At 42.0% G+C, this 23,416-nt stretch overlaps 1 protein-coding gene across 5 annotated transcripts in view, besides 4 other annotated features; it reads right to left on the bottom strand.

Moving 5' to 3' along the window:
* Positions 6,379-23,416, bottom strand: part of EDN1 (endothelin 1) — a 66,679-nt gene continuing 49,641 nt past the window's right edge. The window contains exons 1-6 of one of the 5 annotated variants that reach the window (NM_001416564.1): positions 15,499-15,554; positions 12,880-12,944; positions 11,064-11,232; positions 9,477-9,632; positions 9,169-9,312; positions 6,379-7,611 (exon numbers count right to left, since the gene is read on the bottom strand). In NM_001416564.1, the coding sequence (NP_001403493.1) occupies positions 7,506-7,611; positions 9,169-9,312; positions 9,477-9,632; positions 11,064-11,232; positions 12,880-12,943 (639 nt within the window). In that variant the 5' untranslated portion in view covers position 12,944; positions 15,499-15,554 and the 3' untranslated portion in view covers positions 6,379-7,505. Of the gene's footprint in view, positions 7,612-9,168; positions 9,313-9,476; positions 9,633-11,063; positions 11,233-12,879; positions 13,213-13,449; positions 13,560-15,498; positions 15,555-23,416 lie in introns of those variants that run through there. The other 4 variants (NM_001416563.1, NM_001416565.1, NM_001955.5 and 1 more) reach the window with 4 other exon arrangements.
* Positions 13,280-13,349: an enhancer, noted in NCBI's record as "active region_24015". NCBI's record gives its function as "activates an Ori minimal core promoter by ATAC-STARR-seq in GM12878 lymphoblastoid cells {active_cell/tissue: GM12878}" and the evidence as "EXISTENCE:reporter gene assay evidence [ECO:0000049][PMID:35858748]".
* Positions 13,360-13,459: an enhancer, noted in NCBI's record as "active region_24014". NCBI's record gives its function as "activates an Ori minimal core promoter by ATAC-STARR-seq in GM12878 lymphoblastoid cells {active_cell/tissue: GM12878}" and the evidence as "EXISTENCE:reporter gene assay evidence [ECO:0000049][PMID:35858748]".
* Positions 14,603-15,103: an enhancer, noted in NCBI's record as "H3K4me1 hESC enhancer chr6:12288703-12289203 (GRCh37/hg19 assembly coordinates)". NCBI's record gives its function as "activates a minimal SCP1, AML or CMV promoter by ChIP-STARR-seq in naive and primed H9 embryonic stem cells {active_cell/tissue: H9 hESC(naive and primed)}" and the evidence as "EXISTENCE:reporter gene assay evidence [ECO:0000049][PMID:30033119]".
* Positions 15,104-15,604: an enhancer, noted in NCBI's record as "H3K4me1 hESC enhancer chr6:12288202-12288702 (GRCh37/hg19 assembly coordinates)". NCBI's record gives its function as "activates a minimal SCP1, AML or CMV promoter by ChIP-STARR-seq in primed H9 embryonic stem cells {active_cell/tissue: H9 hESC(primed)}" and the evidence as "EXISTENCE:reporter gene assay evidence [ECO:0000049][PMID:30033119]".

Raw genomic sequence — 23,416 nt, 5'->3', positions numbered from 1 at the left:
TCCAGCCTGGGTGACAGAGGGAGACCCAGTTTCAAAAAACAAATACATTAATAAATGAAAAGAAAATTATTTTTATTCAGGGATGGACATTGCAATGAAAATACACATGCCATAGTAAACTATGTGCGTATTCGAGGAGGTAAAGCAAAACAAAGATTGTTAAAGGAAAAATCAGGAGGATAACGTAATTGTTTTGAGATCATTATTCTTGGCTACAGTTATCAATAACAAGGGTGGCACCAGTCCGAGGCTAGACAGGCAGTTGCTGGGCAGATAACTTCACTGAAGTATTTTTTGTGTAAGGTTGTGATGGCCTTTGTGCAAGATTGTGGTTTTTGCAAAGTATTCTGTGATAGCTTTGGTTATCAGGCATTTGTGTGTGAGAATTCTCCCTTTATGGCCTTTCCTGGCTCCATTTGTCAGGGTTCCTAACACAGGTGACTTCATTTGACTCTGACAACTTTCACACTATGATGAAAAATTTAAAACTTAATATGCTCAATACTGAAATTGTAACATTTCCCAACCTTTCTTCCTAGTCTGGTGCCTGTCTCAGTAGATAGCATATTTTTATTGTATAGGCAGAGTGGCAGTGGAAGGTTTTTGAGATGAGGGTAATAGCCAAAATTATTTTTAATTTCCTTCTAGCTCTGTATTTATTGAAATTATAATTAAAGCATTTGGAGAAGATTATTGTTATTATGATTATGGTGAAATGCAGGATGGGTTGGAGTAGAAAGAAGTAGAAAGAATACCCCATTGTGTCAAATAATTTACCACTAGCGTGGAGCCTCAATAAAAGAAGATTTCAGCTATGGCAGCTCTGCAAAGAGAGCCCTGGAAATGGGTCTTATAAATCTTCTGTTGTCTAGTCGCATTCTGGCTAGAAGAGTATCACTTTCACCCCGCTCTTACTGAACAGTGGAACTCACCTCTGTATTTATTCATCCATTGAATAAGCATTTATTGAATGATATATTATGCCCTAAGCTCTGAACTTGAGGCTGTAGGCACCAGAAAAGGGGGAGGTGCTCTGCTGCAGCCTGGTCTGCAGGTAAAGGCATACAGACATTGCGTGTGCTTACACAGTGCCAAGCACATCCAAGAAGCAAAGGCGGTTCTGAAATTCTGAACTGATTCAAGGCTTATTTTGATCTAAGATGACCATATGTCCAAGTTTGTCCACAACAGTCCAATGTGTAGCTCCGTGAGAATTGTTAAGAATGTCACTAAGTGCTGTCAAATATGTCCCAGTTTAAATAGTAAATTATGGGGCCACCCTTTCCTAGTCCCAAATTAATCTAAGAGGGCAAGATTTAATCTTACAGGCAGCTCGTCCCTCTTGCTCCTTCCTATTGCAGAGCTAGGGCCCTAGGAAGACCTGGTCTAAGGCAGATCTTGACTTTGGCAACCACAAAATTGCCCTGCTAAAAATCTCCAAGAAGGATGTAAATTCATACACCCTCTGTGGAAAACAGTATGGAGAGTTCTCAAAGAACTAAAAAGTAGATCTACCATTCTATCCGCCAATCCCACTACTTGGAATTTACATAAAGGAAAAGAAGTCAATGCATCAAAAACACACCTGCGTGAGTATGTTTATCACAGCACAATTCACAATTGCAAAGGTATGGAATCAACCTAAGTGCTCATCAACTGATGAGAAGGCCAAGAAAATGTAATATATATATACCATGGAATACTCTTCAGCCATAAAAAAGAGCTAAATGATGTCTTTTGCAGCAACTTGGTTGGAACTGGAGGTCATTATTCTTAGTGAAGTAACTCAGCAATTGAAAATCAAATGCAACATGTTCCCGCTTATAAGTAGGAGCTAAGCTATGGGTACACAAAGGCATACAGAATGGTATAATGGACATTGGAGACCCAGAAGTTGGGGAGGATAGGAGGGGTTGAGGGCTGAAAAACTACCTACTGGGTACAGTGCACGCTACTTGAGTAAGGGATGCACTAAAATCCTAGACTTCACCACTACACAATTCATCCATGTAACTAAAAACCACTTGTACCACTTAAAGCTATTGAAATAGAAAACACATAAAATAAAAAAAAAATTTAAAGTAAAATCTCCAAGGAGACAAGGAGACCCTTAAGGTCTTTTTACTTCTCCCATAGGGCACCAGAGCACGAGGGAGGGGAACATGCAGAGAGAGGGGCATTGCCCAGAGATGACTGTGCAGCAGGACACCAAAGGTGCATGAGCAGAAAGATTTGGTGCCAAACCTCCGCAGGCATGAAGATAATGTCATCTCACTCAGTGAAGCTGTAAAGAGAATAATTTATCAAGCAGAGAATGGTTTCGATACTTTTAAATCTGACGTACACAGGAGCACATACCAGTGAGACTATTCTAGTCTGTAAAACAGTGAAATGATTTCATCCTGGTTAGTAAATAGCCCTAGCAACAAGAAGCTTGGAAATTCCACCCTGGCTGCCCACCCCTGTCCCAGATCACAAGGTCCCCTACAGGCCAACATCAGGAGGTTGAAGACCTAGCCCAGCCAGAGTCTATCAGGAGCCTGCCCAACAGCTCTGTCCCAGCTTTTTCTAATTGGTCAGTGCCCATGCCATGTCAATGGCCGCTTAATATTGTGATTATTAGCCCTGGATACTTCCACAGCAACTTACACAGAAGGGGACTGGAATGACTCGGAATGTGAAAAATAACAATAGGATGCAGAAACCCAGAAAACTCTAAACGGGCAAAACTGCATGCCGGACTCCCGATGTGCTGCCTTTCTGAGCTACGGGCAGCCTGTCATCCCTGGGACCCAACATTTCCATCATTCATTGTCTCCAAGGCCGAAGCCCTTCTCTTTTTACTACCTAGTGGCACCAGCCCTAGCTCTCTCTCTGATTACTGCCCAAGATTTGAGGAAATTTGATGGCCGCTGCCATCACATTCATCACTCTATTTCCTCCGATGTATTGGCTCTGTGGCCAGTAGTTGTCAATGAAGTTGTCATGGCTTCATGGCACCAGATTTGAGGCAAGCTTTGTAAATGCCAGCAAGTTTTCTGCCAACCATGCATTGTCATAACAAGAATGATGCAGTAAACAAATAATCATACGACAGAGACGTTCAAAACTAGGGCTCAGGGTACATACGGAGCTTTGATCTTCCTAAGAGAATAAGAACAAGTTCATTCCACTCACAGTTCACTCACAAGCTGGAAATAATCTACGTTAGTCCAAGTTGCAGGTCCAGTGTATCCCCTTGGCTCTGGAGGAGTTTAAGAAGAAAGGGTCAGGGGTCCCGGGTTCTGGTCTTGCTATTTGCCTGATGTTGGACTCTGGATGAGTCACTCACCCTCTCGATATGTCTCTTTCCTTGGTTGGCTGATGGATACATGATATGGTTCCAGCTTCCCGAAAGGATTGTTGTGTGAGGGTAGGGGTCGAATGAGAGAAAGGATGTGAAAAGCTACAGGAAACCAAATTATCTACAAAGATGAGAGGTTACTGTGAAATGTGTAACATTCACTTGCAGTAGATAAATTCTGAGCTCCAGACCCAAAGTCCCCAGGAACTGTGAGTATAAAGGTGAGATAAAGCCAATGCAGAAGGGACTCTATTAAGAACATAAGCTTGAAAGCAGTGTTTTACACATTGAGAACTTAAATGTGAAAACAGGCATTTTCAAGACCTTAGAAACAGAGAGGGGGAAAAAAAAAAGCAGACCACTGCCTTGCATTGTAGAGTAAAAGAGAACTGACCGGGCCAGGCACAGTGGCTCACGCCTGTAATCACAGGACTTTGGGAGGCCAAGGTGGGCGGATCACCTGAGGTCAGGAGTTCGAGACCAGCCTGACCAACACGGAGAAGCCCCGTCTCTACTAAAAATACAAAATTAGCCGGGCATGGTGGCACATGCCTGTAATCTCAGCTACTGAGGAGGCTGAGGCAGGAGAATCGCTTGAACCCAGGAGGCAGAGGTTGTGGTGAGCTGAGATAGCGCCATTGCACTCCTGCCTAGGCAACAAGAGCAAAACTCCATCTCAAAAAAAAAAAAAAAAAAAAAAAAAAAGAGAACTGACCGAGAGATTTCCCCCTTCACTCAGATAGATTCTTTGGTGAGTAAAGTCTAAAAATAATAATTAAAAATTCTTGGTTATATTCTATTTTATCCTATAGACATTTACTTAACGATGCCATGAGATAGCCTCCTTATAGTCCTTTTTTCTTCCCCTGCATTTCTTCTCTTTCCTCTTGAGGGGATGGGTCTGCTAGCACTGTCTACAAGGCTGGGAGGCAAAGCTTTCAGAAAGACTGATTTTGGCTTTAGTACCCAGAGCCTTCTAGCAAGGTTTGCCTGGGCATCTGTTTCTGCAGACCTCCAGGGGCCCTCTGGCTGAAATAGTCGTGCTTAACTTAAGTGTTCAGGCTCCAGAGATGCTACAGCTCCTTCTGTGATCTTAGGTGAGTCACCTCCCTTTTTGGGCCTTGGATTTTCACCTGGAAAGACAAAATGTTGCTCTTTCTTAATGTCAGCAAGAGTTCTCCTGAGGGAGCTCTAGATTAGTCCAATACCCAAGCTGTGTTTTGGGGGAGTACAGGCAGTATCAAAGCCAGTGGATCCATCAAAAAAGATGCCAATCTCTGGTGGTGCAAATGAAGTACCTATTAGTAGGTGTTCCCTCTGCCCTGGCAAAAGTTACCACATTCCACCTAGAGTTCTCTGGTTTCTGGAGTTCTGAGATCAAAGCTTGCCTGGGCTATCAGTGTAAAGAGAGAAAGCTGTCCTAAGTGGGTTTCCAGAAACCATGCTTTTACTGGAAACAGAGCAAGAAATGTGACAGACCATCCCATCAGTTTACCCTTCAAGCTGATGTGGACTGTAATATAATTGAATGTTTCGTCTTCATGTTTGAAAAATATTAATTTTCTGTGAGTCTCCCAACTTATTTACTGCAAATCCTCATGCCCTAGAGTGTCTACATCATCCCTTTCATTTTTCCTACTGGATACTGAAGCAGGAAGCATGGGAAAGGGGGGCTCAAGGGTTTGACTGATGAAAAACCCAACCAAAACTCATCAATCTGACTTACTATGCTGTCCTTTGGACTGTTTTGTTCAGTGGCTTCTCTGATTCTGACTTCCTCTTAAATGTATTAGATCCATGTCTTCTAAGCTCAGATCTTTATTTTTTTTCATGCCACTTCAACTTCTTTATGTAATCTCAAACTCTTTCTCAGAGGTATGAAAGAAACTCCCCTCAACTCCCTTGTTTCATAGATGAGAAAACTCACGATAGAAGGAAATTGAATCGTTTGCTCAAGATTAAATACTGGCCAAGTTCAGACCAAGCACCTTGTCAACATGGGCAAAACTTCAAAATTTTCTTCAGAGTCACGCACTGAGAAACAGTTTATGGATAAAGTAAGCTTTATAAACAATTCCCCAAAGACATTGGACTGTGCCTTAAAGAGAAAAATGAGGATCAATGAGGACGGAGACTCTGCACAGGACATTGATTACGCATGCCTGAAGACTGTTATTTGAAATCCTTCTGATGTGTCACTGTTAGGACGACAGTGATCACTACATGCTAATATTTGTTAAATGCCAGGAATTCCTTCAGACACTATTAGAGAAGGGCAAGGAAGATTCTCGAGGGCTAATCAAGCTCTTAGAGAATTCAGTTAGTAGTGACCATTTGCAATACTGCAATTGCAATACTGTGCTCTCCAGTGAGCTGACAAGGCCAGCCAAGGCAAAGTGGAGAGGAAGTGGTGCTTTGTGGCAGAGGACCTAGAATCAGTACCTGGTGTCTCTACCTCCATGGGCACACGGCCAGTCCTAGGCTATCACGAAGAAGCAATGGTACTCAATGTTCCTTAAGAAACAACATCCTTAATGTGAGAAAATAAAAAGCCATTGGAAACCTCTACTTGCTCTGAGCAGGCCATTTTCTAAAAGCAACTTTGGTATATAACTTTGTATAATTAGGTATGTTTTGGGGGGTTGTCTTGCCATTACTTCCTTCAGTCCATTAATATGGATAAAGCATCTCTCACCACACCATCAGCTTAAACTGTTGAATCCTGCCTAATAGCCTGAGCCAAGTTAATGGATGAAGTCCCTGGAGAATTTTTCAGGTGAAGGAGAAGCAGGAGGCTGCTACCCAAGAGAAGACAGAGGTGTTAAAGCTGCTTTTTTGTTTTGTGTTTTTACCTCAATGCAGTATAAAATCAACATTTAAGATACAGATAAAATTCTTTATATAATTAGCTTAGACCGTAATATCCTTCTAATTGTCACTTTTCTATGAAACCGTCTTTAACCATTTATTTGCCTTTATGGTACTTAATCACGTTGGCCCACTCCTTACAAATTTCAGTAATGATTCCAAATCAGTACAGTAAGGAAAAAAATATTTATTTTCTAAAGTCATTACCTTGACAGGCAAAACAAAGCATGTTCTCAATTTCATTTAGAAATACATATTTTAAAAATACATAGACCAATATGGCCTGCCCAAACAGATATTTAACATGGTAAATATAAGGAATAAATTGTTTGAATATAAATATCTATAAAAAAATAAGTACATCAAAATTCAATCCAACCTCTTTCATTAGCCGGTTATATAAAGGAAAATAATTTTACTGCTTTAAAGCGTAACAAACACTTACTTTTCAATATATTTCATAAACAACCCTATACCATTGTGTCTCCAAAAATCAAGGACAGGGAATCTCCTGATTTAATGATCTTTTTTTTCTTATGGATCAGAGCTAGTAGATTACCATGAAAATATTATATCTACTGCTGACACATTAGACCAGACTTCTACGAGGCTAGGATTTAGTATGGGGGATGGAGGAAGGGGCAGCAGGGGTGGGAAGAGTTTGGGGAGGCAATAATTAAATGTGGGAAATACTTCTGCCAGAGTGCAATATAGGTGAGGTAGACTCATATTCATGAAACATATCCTGATTTATGGTAGTAACAGTTTCATTCAGTTTTGCATTTTACAAATTTAAACAAAAGTCTTTCTTTTTTTTTTCTTTACTTGCATGTTTGTCTTTTGAGTGTGTTTTCAATTTGTGCATTCCTTAGAAAATCTTTGTGTGGACTTTGGAGTTTCTCCCTGAAATGTGCCAGGCGCCTGAGTCAGACACAAACACTCCCTTAGGACCTTCGTCAGAAACTCCACCCCTGTGTGGAATCTCCTTCCTCTCTCTCTCTCCGGAGGATGCCACCCGAATTCGAATGTGACTGTGTGTTTCTGCTGAGAGGTCCATTGTCATCCCCAGATGAAAGAAGAGACCAAAGCAGTTACCACTGATGGAAGCCAGTGAAGATGGTTGGGGGAACTCCTTAACCTTTCTTGGAATGTTTTGAACGAGGACGCTGGTCCTTTGCCAGTCAGGAACCAGCAGAGGATGCTCCTGCTCTGATCCCAGCCAGGGTGGAGAGTGCAGAGTCGGCCACAGGGCTCTCCGTGGAGGCTATGGCTTCAGACAGGCCCCGAAGGTCTGTCACCAATGTGCTCGGTTGTGGGTCACATAACGCTCTCTGGAGGGCTTGCCTTTCAGCTTGGGATCATGAAAAGATGATTTGACGCTGTTTCTCATGGTCTCCGACCTAATAAAGCAAGATAAGAGAAAACAAATGTTATTTTAAAAAAATCACCCTTTGGCAAAAGAAACATGTAAAATTAGAATCTGGCACAAACAAAACCTGAATCTGGTTGTGAACTTTCACCACCCGCCGCAACTCTTTGATAAAACCTCAAGTGATATCTATTACCATTGTAAAAATAAAGCCTGCCCCTATGCTTAGAATGGGAGCGAGGGGTCATATGGTCAAGTCTAAGGGGAAGTGGGCAGTAAATACAGGTTTTAAATAAACTAGAGTTGTTCTGGTTTCTTCCGTAGCCCCATCCCAACCTTCATCACTATGTGACCCTGCCTTGAGGAACTCAGCATAGGTTTTGAATAGTTATGGCCATCTTAATAAATTGACGGTGACTTAGTTGAAAAGAGAGAAAAAGAAAAGAAGCATACAGTAGGCCCAGAGCAAATACTTTATGGCAATTATTTTTAAAAAGATTTTTTTTTTTTGCAGGCCTAATGTTTTACAGGAGAAATACAGAGGGAAGAACTGTAATGTTGATTTAATAGTTGGCATAATAAAAACCCATAAAAAATTCCAGGTTAGTTCAGAAACTGATCTCGTGGGGAGCATTACTGGCCTGCGACCATAAATATGGATACTCTCATAAGCAGGTGTGAAGAAACCGATAGCTGAGGCTGCCCCACAAATCAGTAGTAAATAACTCAGAAGTAGTTCATGACTGCCTGGCCTGAGCTCAGAACACTTTAATCATAGAACTTCTTGCCACTGGATTTCTAAGAGAAGTTTCCATAGACCATGATAGAAAAATGCAGAACATGTGGTAGATCAGAGAGTAGGTTTCCTCCTTTGAGCTTGTGAATTCCAAAAAGTTTAGGATTTGGAAGGGTTATCACCAAAGAGCAGCTCAGAGCAACTCTATGATGTTGCCTAATCCAGATCCCTTCTCTGTCCCAGCACATGACTGACCAGGAAAAGAGAGAGCTTTTTGGAATGACATTGGCTCTGCACCAAACACATTTCCCTATTTAAAAAAAAAAAAAAAAAAAAGACCATAAACCTGAAAAACAGCATGTTCTAAATTCTACCAACCCTATCTAATGACTTTATTTTTCCTTTGGCCATCTGAATAACTGCAACTTATTGAAGAATTTGATTATCCATGACACTTTGATTCTTTTTCTAAATGTCCGCTCCCCAAAATGATTTTCGATTTCTCAGGGAAAGTGGTAAATACATTGACTCAGAGAGGCAAAGGCTGTATATAACCCAATGACAAAGGCATCTCTGGATATATTTTGGTTGGGAAATCTACCTGTAGATGAAATGGTATGTGCTAAAAGTACAGAGGACATCGGTTTGCATTCCAGAGCTTCATGGAAATATTTAAGAGGGATTCTTTTGCTCCTTTTAATCTATAGGATGCATAGATCTCCTCTGCTACTGTTTTCTAAGTCTTTCACCTGCCCGGGTAAGAAGGGCTGGAGGAACAGGCTGCTGGCATCACTGACTGGGGCTAGTTGTTCTTGTGAACCTCTTACCTAATTTTTCTTCCTTCCCTCTTACCTGGTTTGTCTTAGGTGTTCCTCTGAACTTCTTCTGATTTTTCTTCCTCTCACTAACTGCTGATAAATACACTTTTTCCCAAGCTTGGAACAGTCTTTTCCTTTCTTATGATTATTCCAGTCTTTCTCCATAATGTCTTCAGCCCTGTTAAAATACACAAGGAAAAACATTTCAGCAATGTTATATTCAGCTTTACCCTGACTTTCAATGTCTCTGTTAGTCTCTCTAAAACAGGAAGGCAGTACCATGATAGGAAGGAGTTCAGGAGGCTGTTAAACTGATTGAAAAGCAAAGGTGTTTCTGCTCACCTGAGTTCTTTTCCTGCTTGGCAAAAATTCCAGCACTTCTTGTCTTTTTGGCTAGCACATTGGCATCTATTTTCACGGTCTGTTGCCTTTGTGGGAAGTAAATTCTCCAAGGCTCTCTTGGACCTAGGGCTTCCAAGTCCATACGGAACAACGTGCCTATTATCCAAAGAGAGAAAGAAACTATATTAGTGTAATTAATAGTCTTTAAAATGACACATGGACACACCTATTCCACTGGGCACACAAGGAGCTCATCACATAGCACTTGGGAGCATCATTTCAGAGGGTAAAGTGTAACAACAGCCAGGAACACCTGTGCATCAATGGCCCTGACTGTATGTATCCAGGCAGGAGAAAACAAGTTTTTCTAATTCAGTGGAATTCCATTTCAACTCTTCACAAAGTTCAGTTTCTTCTTGACACAAGCAACATTGCTTTTTTGTCAAAAATTAGGACATCTCTGCTTGGCATCTGCTTTATATTTTCTTCCTTTTCTAATGGTCTATTTAGTTAACTATTTGTGGGTACACAGTGGGAAGAGGTTTCAATGCAAAACCATGACTCACAGGATTTTTAAAACTTATTTTCAACTCAAACCACGGAGGATACTGCTAAAAGTGCCACCGTCACCCCACCGACCCCAGTGGTTGGGGGAGGAGGAGGCACATGTTCACACATTTCTCCTGCCAGTCGGTGGTACCATATGGTTGTGGAAGGACTCATAGCCAGAGGGCTCTCCAATAATTTCCAATGTGTCCATTTTCATTCTCATCTAAGAAATAAAGTCCTCCCTTTGGAAGTATCACCTTAGTAATTATTAGGCTCCTTGTGGTTTTTGGTGTGGTTTGATATTGTTTGGATTTTGGTCCTCCTTTGTCATAACGGTACATTGTATGCATAGTAAATGTGTGCTTGTTTATGACTGCTTCCGACAGATGATGAACTAGTGTCCAGGGCAGAAGGAGGAAATCTGCTTTTCTTCTCTGTAGGTGAAAGAGAAGCCTATGGACAGTATTTCTATTTCAGTTCTGAAATGGGCATTTCTAAAGGGAAAATATAGCAGCAAAGGAAATCCGGGCTCCAGTTCTAGCTCTGCTACAAACTCACTCCTGCACAAATGGCTTCAACACTTTGAGCCTAGGTTTTTCTGTAAGTAAAATTAAGTGATTCTAACCCTCTATATCATCACTTCTGCCTCTCAGTCTCCACCCTCCCATGAGAAGCACAGGTTGCACTAACCCACATCTGACCTCGGCAATTATTCCCGAAACCCCATCAGATGCCACTGTGAGAGTGTCCCCCTGAGGCCCTCTCACTGAAAGTTCCTCATTTGAAACGTGCAGTGGCCTCCTGCTTGTCCCATCATGAGTAGCCTGAGCTACGGGGCCTCAGAAGACCCTCCCCTTGGTTGCTAAGAACGAAGCTGTCGTTATTTTCAGGAATAGAGGGAAACTGTCCCCACTGAGGCACTTGGATGGTGTTAGAAGGACTACCTTCAGAGTCCCTAGAAAAGAAACTCTAAAACTGGGCTCCAGTGGAGCCAGCGCTAATGAATGACTAGGGTTACAATGCCCTCTAGAGACTTACTCGGGAGTGTTGACCCAAATGATGTCCAGGTGGCAGAAGTAGACACACTCTTTATCCATCAGGGACGAGCAGGAGCAGCGCTTGGACCGGCGGAGCCGCCAGGGTGGACTGGGAGTGGGTTTCTCCCCGCCGTTCTCACCCACCGCGCTGAGCTCAGCGCCTAAGACTGCTGGGGAGAGAAAGAGCAGGTCAGTGGGGGATGTCTCCTCAAACGCCGAGAGACATGCTGGATCACAGTAGAGTCAGAGCTAGCAGAGCAGATAAAAGCAGATGAAGCACACAGCCTGCCATCAGCAAGAAACACAGAAAAAAGGGCTCTTTATTTTTTTCCCTCCTTAACATGAGTTCACCTTTTGCCTCCCCCTCATGCCCTTGGCTTATCCACCTTCAGGGAGATTACACAAATGCAGAGGAGATAAACACCTGAAAAGGGACTTCCCCCACCCCTCTTGAAGCAGGCTCAGGGAAATGCTGTGGAATGCTGCCTGTTGAAAATCCGGCTGGCTTCTACAAGGAACTTGGTAGGACAGCACTATCCACTGAAGCTTACTTAACATTGGCACATGACTAAAGACAAGAAATCACAGTTATTCCTAGCTTTGGGGCCACTTCCCCATTCAGGATGACCCTCTCTTTAGGGGGTACCCATCCACTTCACATGCTGTGTAGGGCACAGGGTACCCCAGATGATGTATATCTTTCAAAATTAGGTGGGGAAAATGATTGGAGAGAGAAATTAACTATTCAATATTCAATTCAGGAGGGTAACTCCATAGAAACCAGTGACCTAAGGTGGGGCTGAGAAGCAGGTCAGGGGACTGAAGGTAGGCTGGGGGGATTTTGAATTCCGAATCCCTGGGCATCAGGCTTGTGTGGGATCCACTGCCTCCCCCTTCTCCACTACTGCCTTGCCTCTTCCTCCTAACAATTTAGCCATGCAGCTTATCTGCCCAATTTTGTACATTTCAAATGATCAGACACATTCCAGGATTTTCATTCCCTTGACATCCTTTCTCTTTAGTCAGGGTCACGAAAAGACAAAAAAAGTGCACTGACCCTAAAAACGGGGGGGACCCGGGCAGATGCACACGCACTGCCTAAATCCTTCGGCAGCCAAGAATTATCCTAGCTCCCCTCCCAGCACAGGTGAATAAAGCTGAAAAGAGAGCTCACACTGTTTTGGGTGCCAAAAACCTGCCAAAAGAAACCTAAAGTCAATGATGACAAATTTTAAAGAAAACATCTGCTTCACCCAGAAACCGCCTGCGGGGGGTGGTGGCGGGGGGGGGGGGAGGCGGTAGTTAGTCAACAGACTTTTGCTCTGCAGGTGATTTTACTGAACATACATTGCTTGAACGACTGGATACAATTCCTTGGCTTCAAGCTGGAATGCTTAAATATTTTACACGTTAACACACTATTAAAATAGTGTTTAAATAAGATTTAAGTTCCTATATGGCCTGTGTACCTGTATAAACACATATATTACAAACATACATTTGACTAAATTGTATATGTCCATACTCTTCTCATTTTTTAAAAGCCAAGGAAACACATAATGGAATAATAATAATAAAACGATAAGTTATTTTAATGTCATGTTATAGTCAATTGCACCTAATTGTATTCAATAGAGGAATTTTACATTTTACACTAGAAGACTTAAAGTAGCTTTCAGCAATAATTCTCAGACACTTGCTCTCTAAGCTGCAGTCATAAAAAGAACGGGGAAAAATAGAAGCAAGAAAAGCATGAAGGTGGATAAGAACACACTAACTTGTAATTCCGAGACTTACAAGTCAACGAGCGTGCCTACCTGTTTCTGGAGCTCCTTGGCAAGCCACAAACAGCAGAGAGAAAATCATGAGCAAATAATCCATTCTGAAAAAAAGGGATCAAAAACCTCCCGTTCAAACTGAACCCAAAGGAAAACGAAGAAAAACAGCTTCAGGTCCCTCAAAGCGCTGCGGGTTCCTCAGATCTCAAAGCGATCCTTCAGCCCAAGTGCCCTTTTAACGGGGAGAAAAGGCAGCGCCTGCCAGGAGAGAAGGCAGCGAGCGGAGCGTCTGCAGGCGCACGCGGCGGTGGAGAGCTGGGACTGCAGGAGGCGCAGGACCCGTTCGCCTGGCGCAGATGCAGAGGCGCGTCTGACTTGGACAGCTCTCTGCCGGCTTTTTATATTGAACCCCTATTAGAGTGGGGGTAAACAGCTCCGACTTTATTCCAGCCCCAGACAATGTTATTGTGTTATTAGTCACCAACAGGCAACGTGCAGCCGGAGATAAGGCCAGGCCCGAAAGGAAATCACTGCTAACTTCAGAGGCAGACGCCCGCCGTCTGACAATTCGGGGGCAGGGCTAAGAAAAAGAAAATACCCATTAGAGACCTTTGCTAAACCTGCCCGTGCAGTGCTGGAGTCCGCTTCCCCTTTGCAAGCTGCCAGCCCCGGAGTTCAAGAATCAGAAGAGGGGACTCCAGAAAAAAAGTCATACCATTGGTATGAAAAGTATGAGCCACAGTTTAAATAGATTGTATTGTTGTGTGCGGGGAATTTTTTTTAATTGTTGCTCGCTTCATTTTCCTTTTATGTCTCTCCGATTCTAGTCTCAGTCAAACAAGGGAATGCTCTCCCTCGTCACTGCCCCACTACTGGGGGTCAGACTATTTTGGCAGATCAACGTACTTTTCTCTTCAAGCCCCTTCCTGCGGGTCTTTTTTGCTGAAGTTCTTTGCATCTATCGGAGAAAGATCCGTGAGGGATTGGCAAGAAAGGGAGCTTAAAAATAACATCAGAGCTCGTTTAGGCACATGCCCAGTCTTTTCCCTATCACTGATGAGAAGCCCCGATAAGTTCTTTTGTGTGTCCACACTTCCCCTGCGGAGGAGGCTGATAAACTGATTGAAAAGCAAAGGTGTTTTTCACACAGAACTTAAATCTTAAGATTGGTCGGTGCCACCAATCTTAAGACATGGCGGGAGAAGAACACCAGGGGGAGATGAAGAGCTACAGGGGCTGATGTTTTACTAGGACAAAAAGGAAAACCCTTCTAAATGGCAGAAAAAAACGCAACCTGGCTTGGGGGCCGAGGAGGGTCAAGGAATGTTGCCTAACATAGGAAGGAGGAATGCACCTCAGAATATTCTATTTATTCCCCGCACAAGCAGGGACATATTTTCTGGGACTCTTTTTTTTGGGGGGGTGTCTTCATTTAGGGCAAAAAGGTGTTCTTGTACAAGGTTAAGTGAATATGCAAGGAAGGTGGTGCTGAGAAGGAAATGCCATTCGAACAAGGAATCAGATAATACTTCACATTTAATAATGTGTTTACATTTTCAAAACAATTTCCTGTCTATCTAACCTTGAAATCCCCCCCTGAAGTACACACAGGGCAGTTACTGTACAGGTGACATCATGCCTTAATAAAGAAAGCAAAAGGTGCATGGAACACATTGGCTTTTTCCGCTAGTCCCATTTTTCAGGTTAGACAACTGAGCACCCAGAATTTTTGTTTGTTCTCCACCAAAGCGCTCACAGTGGCCCAGTAAGACCTATGGGATAAATTTAGAGTCTCTTCCCAGGGGATGCCATCAAATACACACTTTGTCCATCTCCTCTTTTTGTTTTACTCCAGTTTTTCTGGGGATGGAGGGTGGAATTCAAGCACGGATGAATTTCCAAGACTGGCACAACACACATGCTGGGAAACCTTTTTTCCCTCCTCCTTCTAAAATCAAAAGGACAGTTTTTATCCCAACAGCAAAGCCGTGGGTTTGGACAGACTCAGATCCCCAGACCTCCCTCGAAGTCACAGCTGGGGGAACAGGGACAGTGGCAGCGACAGGTCCATAATGACATGCATCCTCTAAAAGAGCCACTGAAGCAAGAGTTGGAGATGGGAGAGAGAGAGGCAAGAACTCTCCCTCCCACACCCACACCCACACCCACACCCAGAGATGCCTCCACCCTATCCCCAGGGCCTCTGCCGGGGCCCCTGGCCTCCGCTGTGCGCTTACCTCAGCCTAGCCCCGGGGCCCAGGGAGGCCACAGCTCCCGGAGGACAGGCGGCACTGAGCCGGAAGCCAGCGCTGCCGCCTGTGCCAGGCAAGGGTGCCCTGACCTCCCTCTCCAAAGCCGACCTTGGGAGAGGAGAGGAGAGCTGATGTCACATTCACAGGTTCCAAGCAGCGCCTCCCCCCCAACACTCCCGCGGAAGAAAGGTGGCCTGGGAAATATGTCTTGGCAGGGACTCCCCCTACTTTTTTTTTTTTAACCTTTTGGCAACTTTGACCAAACACTGACAACAGTCAGGACCAACATGTTCTCAAGGCCCCTACCCGGAAACCACCGCCCATGCCCTCCCCAATATTCTCAGGTCCAGCCTGGGTTCTACTTCAGCTGGAGTCCCTTCTCCCACCCCACTCCACGCCACCCCACCTTGCTGAGGCTGCCCCTGCAGGTTCCAGCAACGCCCAGCCTTCAGGTGGAGAAGTGGGGCAAAATGAAACTGCCCAAGCGCCTCCAACAGCACTCACCACGCCCCGTCTGTGTCATCCCGTGAATATGAATTGGAAACACAAAACGTGGCCAGCCATCCGCCCACACCTGGCCCTTCTCGAGCTCGGGGAAAGTAAATAGTAAGGAAGAATGCAGGATTTCAGACCTGGAAGGGCCCCACCGTGCCAAATATAATGGTGCCCCTGTCTCTTTGAATCCTGAATTTGCAAGACGTGTGCCTGCGCGCGCGCGCGCGCGCCTGTGTGTGTGTGTGTGTGTGTGTGTGTGTGTGTGTGTGTGTGAGAGAGAGAGAGAGAGAGAGAGAGGGAGAGAGAGAGAGATAGGAGAAGAGAAGAGAGAGAGAGAATTTCCGTGTCTTTTTCTTTGTGTGTCAGGGGCGAGGGGTGGCACCTGCCTTCTCTGTCCATCTCTCCATTTCTCCCTCTGGCAGCAGCTCCCTTTTCCTCCTGTAGGGGCAGAGGGAAGCCCCATTCAAGCCCACAGAAGGCAGCTAGGGCACTGCCAGGCAGCCTCCCAGCAAGACATTTTCCCAAGAATCAAGAAATGAGGGGAGAAGGAGAACCCCAACAAACCAGTTTTACAAGCTTGATGCCCCCACCCCTCCTCCACTTAAGGCACTGCTAGACAGAGATGCGGGGAGAAGAACTAGAGGTGAAAAGAGCTGGACAAAGGAGTGAATATGAAGGATAGCTTCATAGCCCCACCCCACCCCTCAGAGGACTGCAGGGGGAAAATGCTCCTTTTGGCCACAGTCACTCTCAGAAAGGGAAGGGAAGGAAGGGAGAGATGTAAAGAGGAGGATTTTTTTTTTTCCCCAATAGAAAGTTTGCTGTGGCTGTTCTTGCCTTTTTTTTTTTTCTCAATTTTAATTTTTTTGGGGACAGGGTCTCACTCTGTCTCCAAGGCTGGAGTGCAGTGGTGCAGTTATAGCTCACTGCAGCCTCAACCTCCTGGGCTCAAGTGACACTCCTACTTCAGCCTCCTGAGTAGCTGGGACAACAGGCTCAAGCCACCATGCCCAGCTAAGTTTTAAAATTTTTTCGTAGAGATAGGGATCTCACTATGTTGCCTAGGCTGGTCTTGAAATCCTGGCCTCAAGCAATCCTCTTACCTTGGCCTCCCACAGTGCTGTGATTACAGGCGTGAGCCACCACTCCTGGCCTATTCTTGCTTTTGAGGCTACACTTGAATGCTGGAAAGTATTTGATAAAACTATTTTTTATGTATTTCTTTCTGTATCTCTGTATTAATAGATATCTATAAATAAAACATGCTGAGCCCCCAATACAGATACTACACAGTAGCAAATTGTACTGTTTTTAGCATTCTCCAGCTTTCCTTTCTCAACTTTTGCGTAATAAAATTTGTAACTTTGCCAAGCCAATAAATTTGGTATGAGATGTTGCATTTAGCTCAGCAAAGCTAACAGTCGTTAAGTTGCTTGAAAATCACACAAAGAATGAGGAAGTATTTTATCATAGGCAAAGTGAAGCTATCCACACCACTAGGCCTGATTTAGTCTTGGGTTGGTAACTATTATACATTTCTACTCTATGTAGCACTTTTGTGAAAAAATGTGTAATATAGTTATTAGGCCTGTGACACATCACACATCTCCAGGAGCTATGAAGAAACACAGCTTCTCCCTATAGTCCAAAAAATAATGGTTGATTTAGCACAGGAAATATGATGGTCAATGTAAATTCATCCTGTACATTTTAAAAACATACAACATATGCATCTCTATTTCTTGGACACTCATCCATAGGATAATCATAGATAGCAAGTGTTTATTTAAAAGAGTATTTCCAATTCTCTAATCTAGCATTTCCCAAAGTTCAGTTATTCATTAAACTGCTTCACAATTTTTACCATATTTGGGTGCCACCTGTACATTTTTACTTAATATTTTCCTTTTAACTGACTTGTTTCTTTTACATGAATAATTTTAAGAAAATTTTATATCATTACTATCTTAAGCAATAATGTACATGAAATTATGGTTGGTATGCTTAAATAATCCATATGAAATCATGGTTGGTATGGTTAAAAAAACTACATGAAATCATAGTTTAATACATGCTAAACATTTAATCATTATACATTCATTAAGCTATTAAAAATAAAAATGTTTGGCTGGGCATGGTGGCTCACACTTGTAATCCCGAGGCCGAGGCAAGTGGATCACCTGAGGTCAGGAGTTCGAGACCACCCTGACCAACATGGAGAAATCCCATGTCTACTAAAAATTCAAAATTAGCCAGGCATGGTGGCGCATGCCTGTAATCCCAGCTACTCAAGAGGCTGAGGCAGGAGAATCATTGAACCCGGGAGGCAGAGGTTGTGGTGAGCCGAGATTGCGCCACTGCACTCCAGCCTGGGCAACAAGAGTGAAACTCCATCTAAATAAAATAAAATAAAAATGTTCGTACATGTATCTTCTATGCCCACACAGACATGCTCACCACCCTTGGGGAACATGCTCACCACAGTTCCATCAACTGCAATATCTTATACCTTCTTGTTTAAGAATTAAGCCCTGTTTCAATTCCTGTCTCTGACCTTTACTTTCAAGATAACTTTCAAATATTCCACACAAAAATGCTCCTACAGATGCATCTCAAAAAACAGATGTTCCGGCATCCAGAATCTAGAAAAACAAAAGGTTCACATCCCAAAAAGTTTTTAACGGATACCTCCCCTTGGCTTCTTGCTCCAGTGCTGCAGCAGTTATCTTTTATCTCCCTTCCCACTCTCTATTTAAATCTCCTCTCTGAGTGCCACTGACACACATGCATGCACACATCTGAACCTATAAATTAGACTAAGAGAAAATAATGATATGATTATGTATTAATAATTCATGATTAATAATTATATTAGGATATTATTGTTTGTTAATTATTATTATTAATATTAGAATCATATTTCACACATCTCAGAAAAATGTGATAGCCAGTGGCTGCCTCCTCATCTTTTAAATGTTCATTCTATGTCATGAGTGACATCCGAAACTAAAGGGACTCTGATGCAGGGAAAGACCACTTGAGGGTGAGGGGAGTTGAGTCAAGTCACTTCATTAAGTCTAATTTGTGAAGTCATTTTAAACAAGCTTTCCATGTGTCTGAATGAGATGCTAAAAGGAACTAATTCTGGAGGGAAGGTTTCATAGAAATACGGCAGCTACCTTCATGGTTTCTTTCTTTCTTTCTTTCTTTCTTTCTTTCTTTCTTTCTTTCTTTCTTCCTTCCTTCCTTCCTTCCTTCCTTCCTTTCCTTCTTTCTTTCTTCCTTTCCTTTCTTTCTCTCTTTCTTTCTTTCTTTCTCTCTTTTTCTTTCTCCCTTTCTTTTTCTTTCTTTCCTTTCTTTCTCTCTTTCTTTCCTTTCTTTCTCTTTCTTTCTTTCTTTCCTGCTTGCTTGCTTGCTTGCTTTTCCTTCCTTCCTTCCTTCTTTCCTTCCTTCCTTCTTTCCTTCCTTCCTTCCTTCCTTTTTAGACAAATTCTCACTCTGTCACCCAGGCTGGAGTGCAATCACGGCTCACTGCAACCTGGACCTCCTGGGCTTAAGCAATCCTCCCACCTCAGCCTCTTGAGTAGCTGGGAATATTATGCATTTCTTTTTTGTTTTTTAGAAGTTTCTTTGGCACATCAAATTTAGTGGCAAAAAATTAAGCAAAATAACTTCAATCATTCTCAACTTTTGTATAATAAAAGGTCTTTGGCAGAGAGCTATCCTAAAATAACAGTGAGAAATTTATTCATTTGAAATTTGTTTTCATGTAAGAAATCTGGACTCAGAAAACTCCTTTTCTCTAACGTGATGTGCATCCGTGTTTATCGAGCCACCACTAGGTGTCAAAAGGAATTCTAGGTACCTTATGTGTTCCAATGTAAAGGTAGCATGGATTTTATATTCATAAGTCAATAGACTGATGGAGGATTAACAGATACCCCCGGAGGAAAAGCAATACAAATGGAGAAAAGAAAACAATGATTGGGGTGAGGAAGCTGAGGTTCCTACAAGGCTGCTATGAAGACACTATGTACAAAGCAACTTGAGAAAGAGGCTGAATGGAGGTTCTAAAGGGTAGCAGGAAAGATTTTCAAAGGTAAGAGGATTTAGGAGCTGTGGCAAAGGACAGCACATGGATAAGAAGGGCCAGAGAATTTTAACAGGATGTTTTGGTTACTGGATTTGCAGTGTCAGTGAGAACACAGGTGGCTTATGATGATGAGAAAGAGAGTATGTAGACAACATGTGTGGTTAATATTTCCAGTATCTCTGTAATGTGTCAGTAGACTGTGGGAAGTCTATATAATTTTCACATATGATTCTCAAGTCCTAAGGATGAGTGTCCAGTCCCTAAAAGGAAAGGAAGATGCTAAAATTTGCCACAGTTCCCTGAGGAACCCCTTCCTGTACATTAGCTCCAGTGATTTTGACCATTCATGGTGTGGACTGTGTCGCCATTAAAAGGTTCAGATTTTTATTTGTATTAGGAAATATTGTATGAGTTCAAATCTCCAACTCCACATTTTGCAAATCTCCTTTTGGACTTGGATATTTACAGAAAAAAAAAATTCCCTACAGCGTTTTAGAAAAGTTCTCTGGCTTTCAACATTTCTTCTCTTCTTTCCAAGAGAAGAGATTGAATAAAAGGATAATCTGTAATTATTCCTTCCACACTCCCCCCTCAAACTCTAATTTAGTAAAAGTAAATTTCTCTTCAGATAATCATGTTTTCCCAAACATGAGTATGCTGGGAAAAGGGAAACAGTATATTTTACTGGTTGTCTTCGTAGGACAAAAGTTAGATGACTTTTTAAACGGGCATTTGTTTTTATTTGAAAATGCAAATTTAATTCCACATGCTCCAAAATATATTTCACACTAAGGATTTTGTTTGATTTGGCTTTTGCACTTTTTTCCATTTGTTCTTTTGATGGAAAGAAAAACCATTTGGGATAGTTACAAGAATAATTTTCCTGGAAATTCATGTCTTAAATTTTTTTTTCTGTGAAGCTTAAAAACCCCTGCATACATTGTGTTAATATTATTTAGCATTTATTGATATTGCTATTTCCCTAAGTACAGATTTTATCAAGGGCAGTCAAAAGGCCATAGAAATATGTTTCTTTCTCACACGTGACTTGCAAAAGCAAAGAATGAAGAGTAATGACATTGTGTGTCAATCTTTAATTTAGCCAGAACTCCAAATTATGACTTTATTATGTTGGTTTATTTTAGAGAAATGTGGGAAAAAGAAAAATGGGATCAAATGAAGGAATATACTTCATTTGTGTGTGCTTATAGCTCAAGATAAGGTTATTGCAAGACTTTAAGGGAAGCAGTACTGAAGACTTACTTTTAAAGAAGAAGAAGGAAGAGGAGGAGAGGAAGAAGGAGGAGGAGGAAGAGGAGAAAGGATCAGGCCTGGAGCCCTGGCCCCATTCTCAACCTCCCTTCTTCCTGGAGTGTGAGAAAAGCAATGAAGCATGATTTAGACAATCTCAAAGCTGCTAATGTGTATGTAAAGCACATAATCTTGCTACAAAGTGGAAAGGATCTCATGAACTGGAAAGTAGCTTGTTTAAACGATTTTTTCCAAACAGTTTCAAGATTAGCCAGGGAGGGCTAACATTTTCTAGATAAAGCATTTGCACAGCCTTGTTTCTTTCTGGCTGTTCTTTCTCCCACCACATCCATTCTATTTTTGTACATTATCTGGAAGAAACTATCTTTTTGGACTAATGACCAGGTCTCTGTACCAGTGGCTTCATTTTTCCCAATTCTCTCCCATACTCCTCCCCTTTCAAGGAACATTCTACCACTTTGTTATGACTTGGATCCAACAAAATGGAGCAAAGAGCAACTGTTTCTAACATGCATAGAAACTCAAGCAAATGCCCACCTCTCCACTTTGACTGGTTAGCATTTTTTCCTATATGTGTAGATCTACATATTGATTATTTTCTGCTCTCAAAAGATGACCAGAAAACATCTAGGACATCCTAATTCTAATTATGCTTTTCATTTTTTTTAATCTAATCTATACTCACTTTATTTCTTTACATTGAAAGTGATATGATATCAATTCAAAACCCTAGATAGAAAATGAAAGAAATAATCAATAAGTAATAAATTCTCAGTGATGTTTCAAGGGCTTCGATCCCTTCTAGGGAACACAGAATCTGAAAACAGCAACAACCTTTGGAAAAGCCACCATCCACTAATGTAGAGGTGGGAGCAAATATAACATATCAGAAAAATAGAACATAACTAAGGAAAATGACAATCTTTAATTTAGCCAGAACTCCAAATTATGAGAACACCTAATTTTCAGGAAAGTGAAACTATTAATAATGACATGGTCCAAATATAGATCATCCAACTCAACAGAAACTAATGTCTACTCATTAAACAGCTCCTTGGAGATCAACTCCTCACTCAGATAGTCAAGGCACTTAGCCTCTCTCTGCCTTTCCCCATTATAGAATGAGAAAATATCATGTGCCACTTATCTCAAGATGCCTAGAGGAAAGTGTTTCATTGAGGCTGTAGGTGAAATGATGGAGACAGTCATATCAATTGGAAAAGTTTAGTTAGTAAGATATACAGAGAGCTACACAAAGTTTTTTTCAAATCAAGGATTCAGAAGAAAAGGAAAGAGCAAAGTATCATCAAATGCAGAACATGAAAGAAAATGTGCAAAGGACAGAGGAAGAACTGTTTCACATAAGTTCTATTACTGAATGTTGACTGGGGTGAAACAATATCAAAATCCAATTTATGGAAGAGATGCTAATTTGAAGAGTCAAAAAGCTGAAACACAACAGACGTTGTACAGAGAGGTCTGTAAGAGGAAGAATCAGGCAGTCGGAATGTAGACATGGTTTTGAGGCTGAGCACACGAGCTCTTCCTAATTCCAGCTGAAATTGCCAGACTTGAGCTATGAAGTAGGCAGTGGAGAAAATGTAATTTGCAAGTATCTTAAAAAGAAAAAATTGATCTGAGAAAAAAGGCATTTTTACTTTAATTTCCTATCATTGTTTCTTCATTAGGGACTACATTTGGTTTTGTTTGTTTGTTTGTTTGTTTTTTGAGATGGAGTCTTGCTCTGTTGCCCAGGCTGGAGTGCAGTGGCATGTTCTTGGCTCACTGCAACCTCTGCCTCCCAGATTCAAGTGATTCTCCTGCATTAGCCTCCCGAGTAGCTGGGATTACAGGCGCAGGACACCATGTCTGGCTAATTTGTACTTTCAGTGGAGACAGGGTTTTGTCATGTTGGCCAGGCTGGTCTCCAACTCCTGACCTCAGGCGATCCGTCCGTCTCAGGCTCCAAAAATGCTGGGATTACAGGCATGAATCACTGCACCCAGCCAGGGACTACATTTATTACAGAAATTTTCTTTTGAGTTGTAGATATAAGGCAAAGCACTGAAGATTGTGTAGAGATAAAGCAGCACACTAAAGTGTCTTAAGAAGGTAGAGAGGGAAGACTGTTGATTTTCTAATTTATGAAAATGTGTTAGGAGAAAGTAGTTAAATATTATTAAATAAAATAGTGCATATAAAAGCTTATTGTGGGGTATAAAGTTATTAACAAAAGAATATGCTACTAATAAGTCTGAGTTATTATAGAATATACAGGAAGAAATTTTCTTTCCAGGCCTTATGTTTTTATATTATTAAAAAGTTACATCAATACTGGAAAAAAGCAGGCTCCTGCTGCTCGTCTTCATTGAGAATATAGCTTTGAAAGATCCTTTTATTGTTTACCCATTTCCCACAGCTTAAGAATTTTTGCAATATCTTCCACTCACTCTAGAAACTAGCT

This window comes from Homo sapiens, chromosome 6 (genome assembly GCF_000001405.40).
Source record: "Homo sapiens chromosome 6, GRCh38.p14 Primary Assembly".
Classification (NCBI taxonomy): Eukaryota; Metazoa; Chordata; class Mammalia; order Primates; family Hominidae; genus Homo; species Homo sapiens.
Note: the sequence above shows the minus strand (reverse complement) of the source record. Positions and strands in the feature narration are given on the sequence as shown.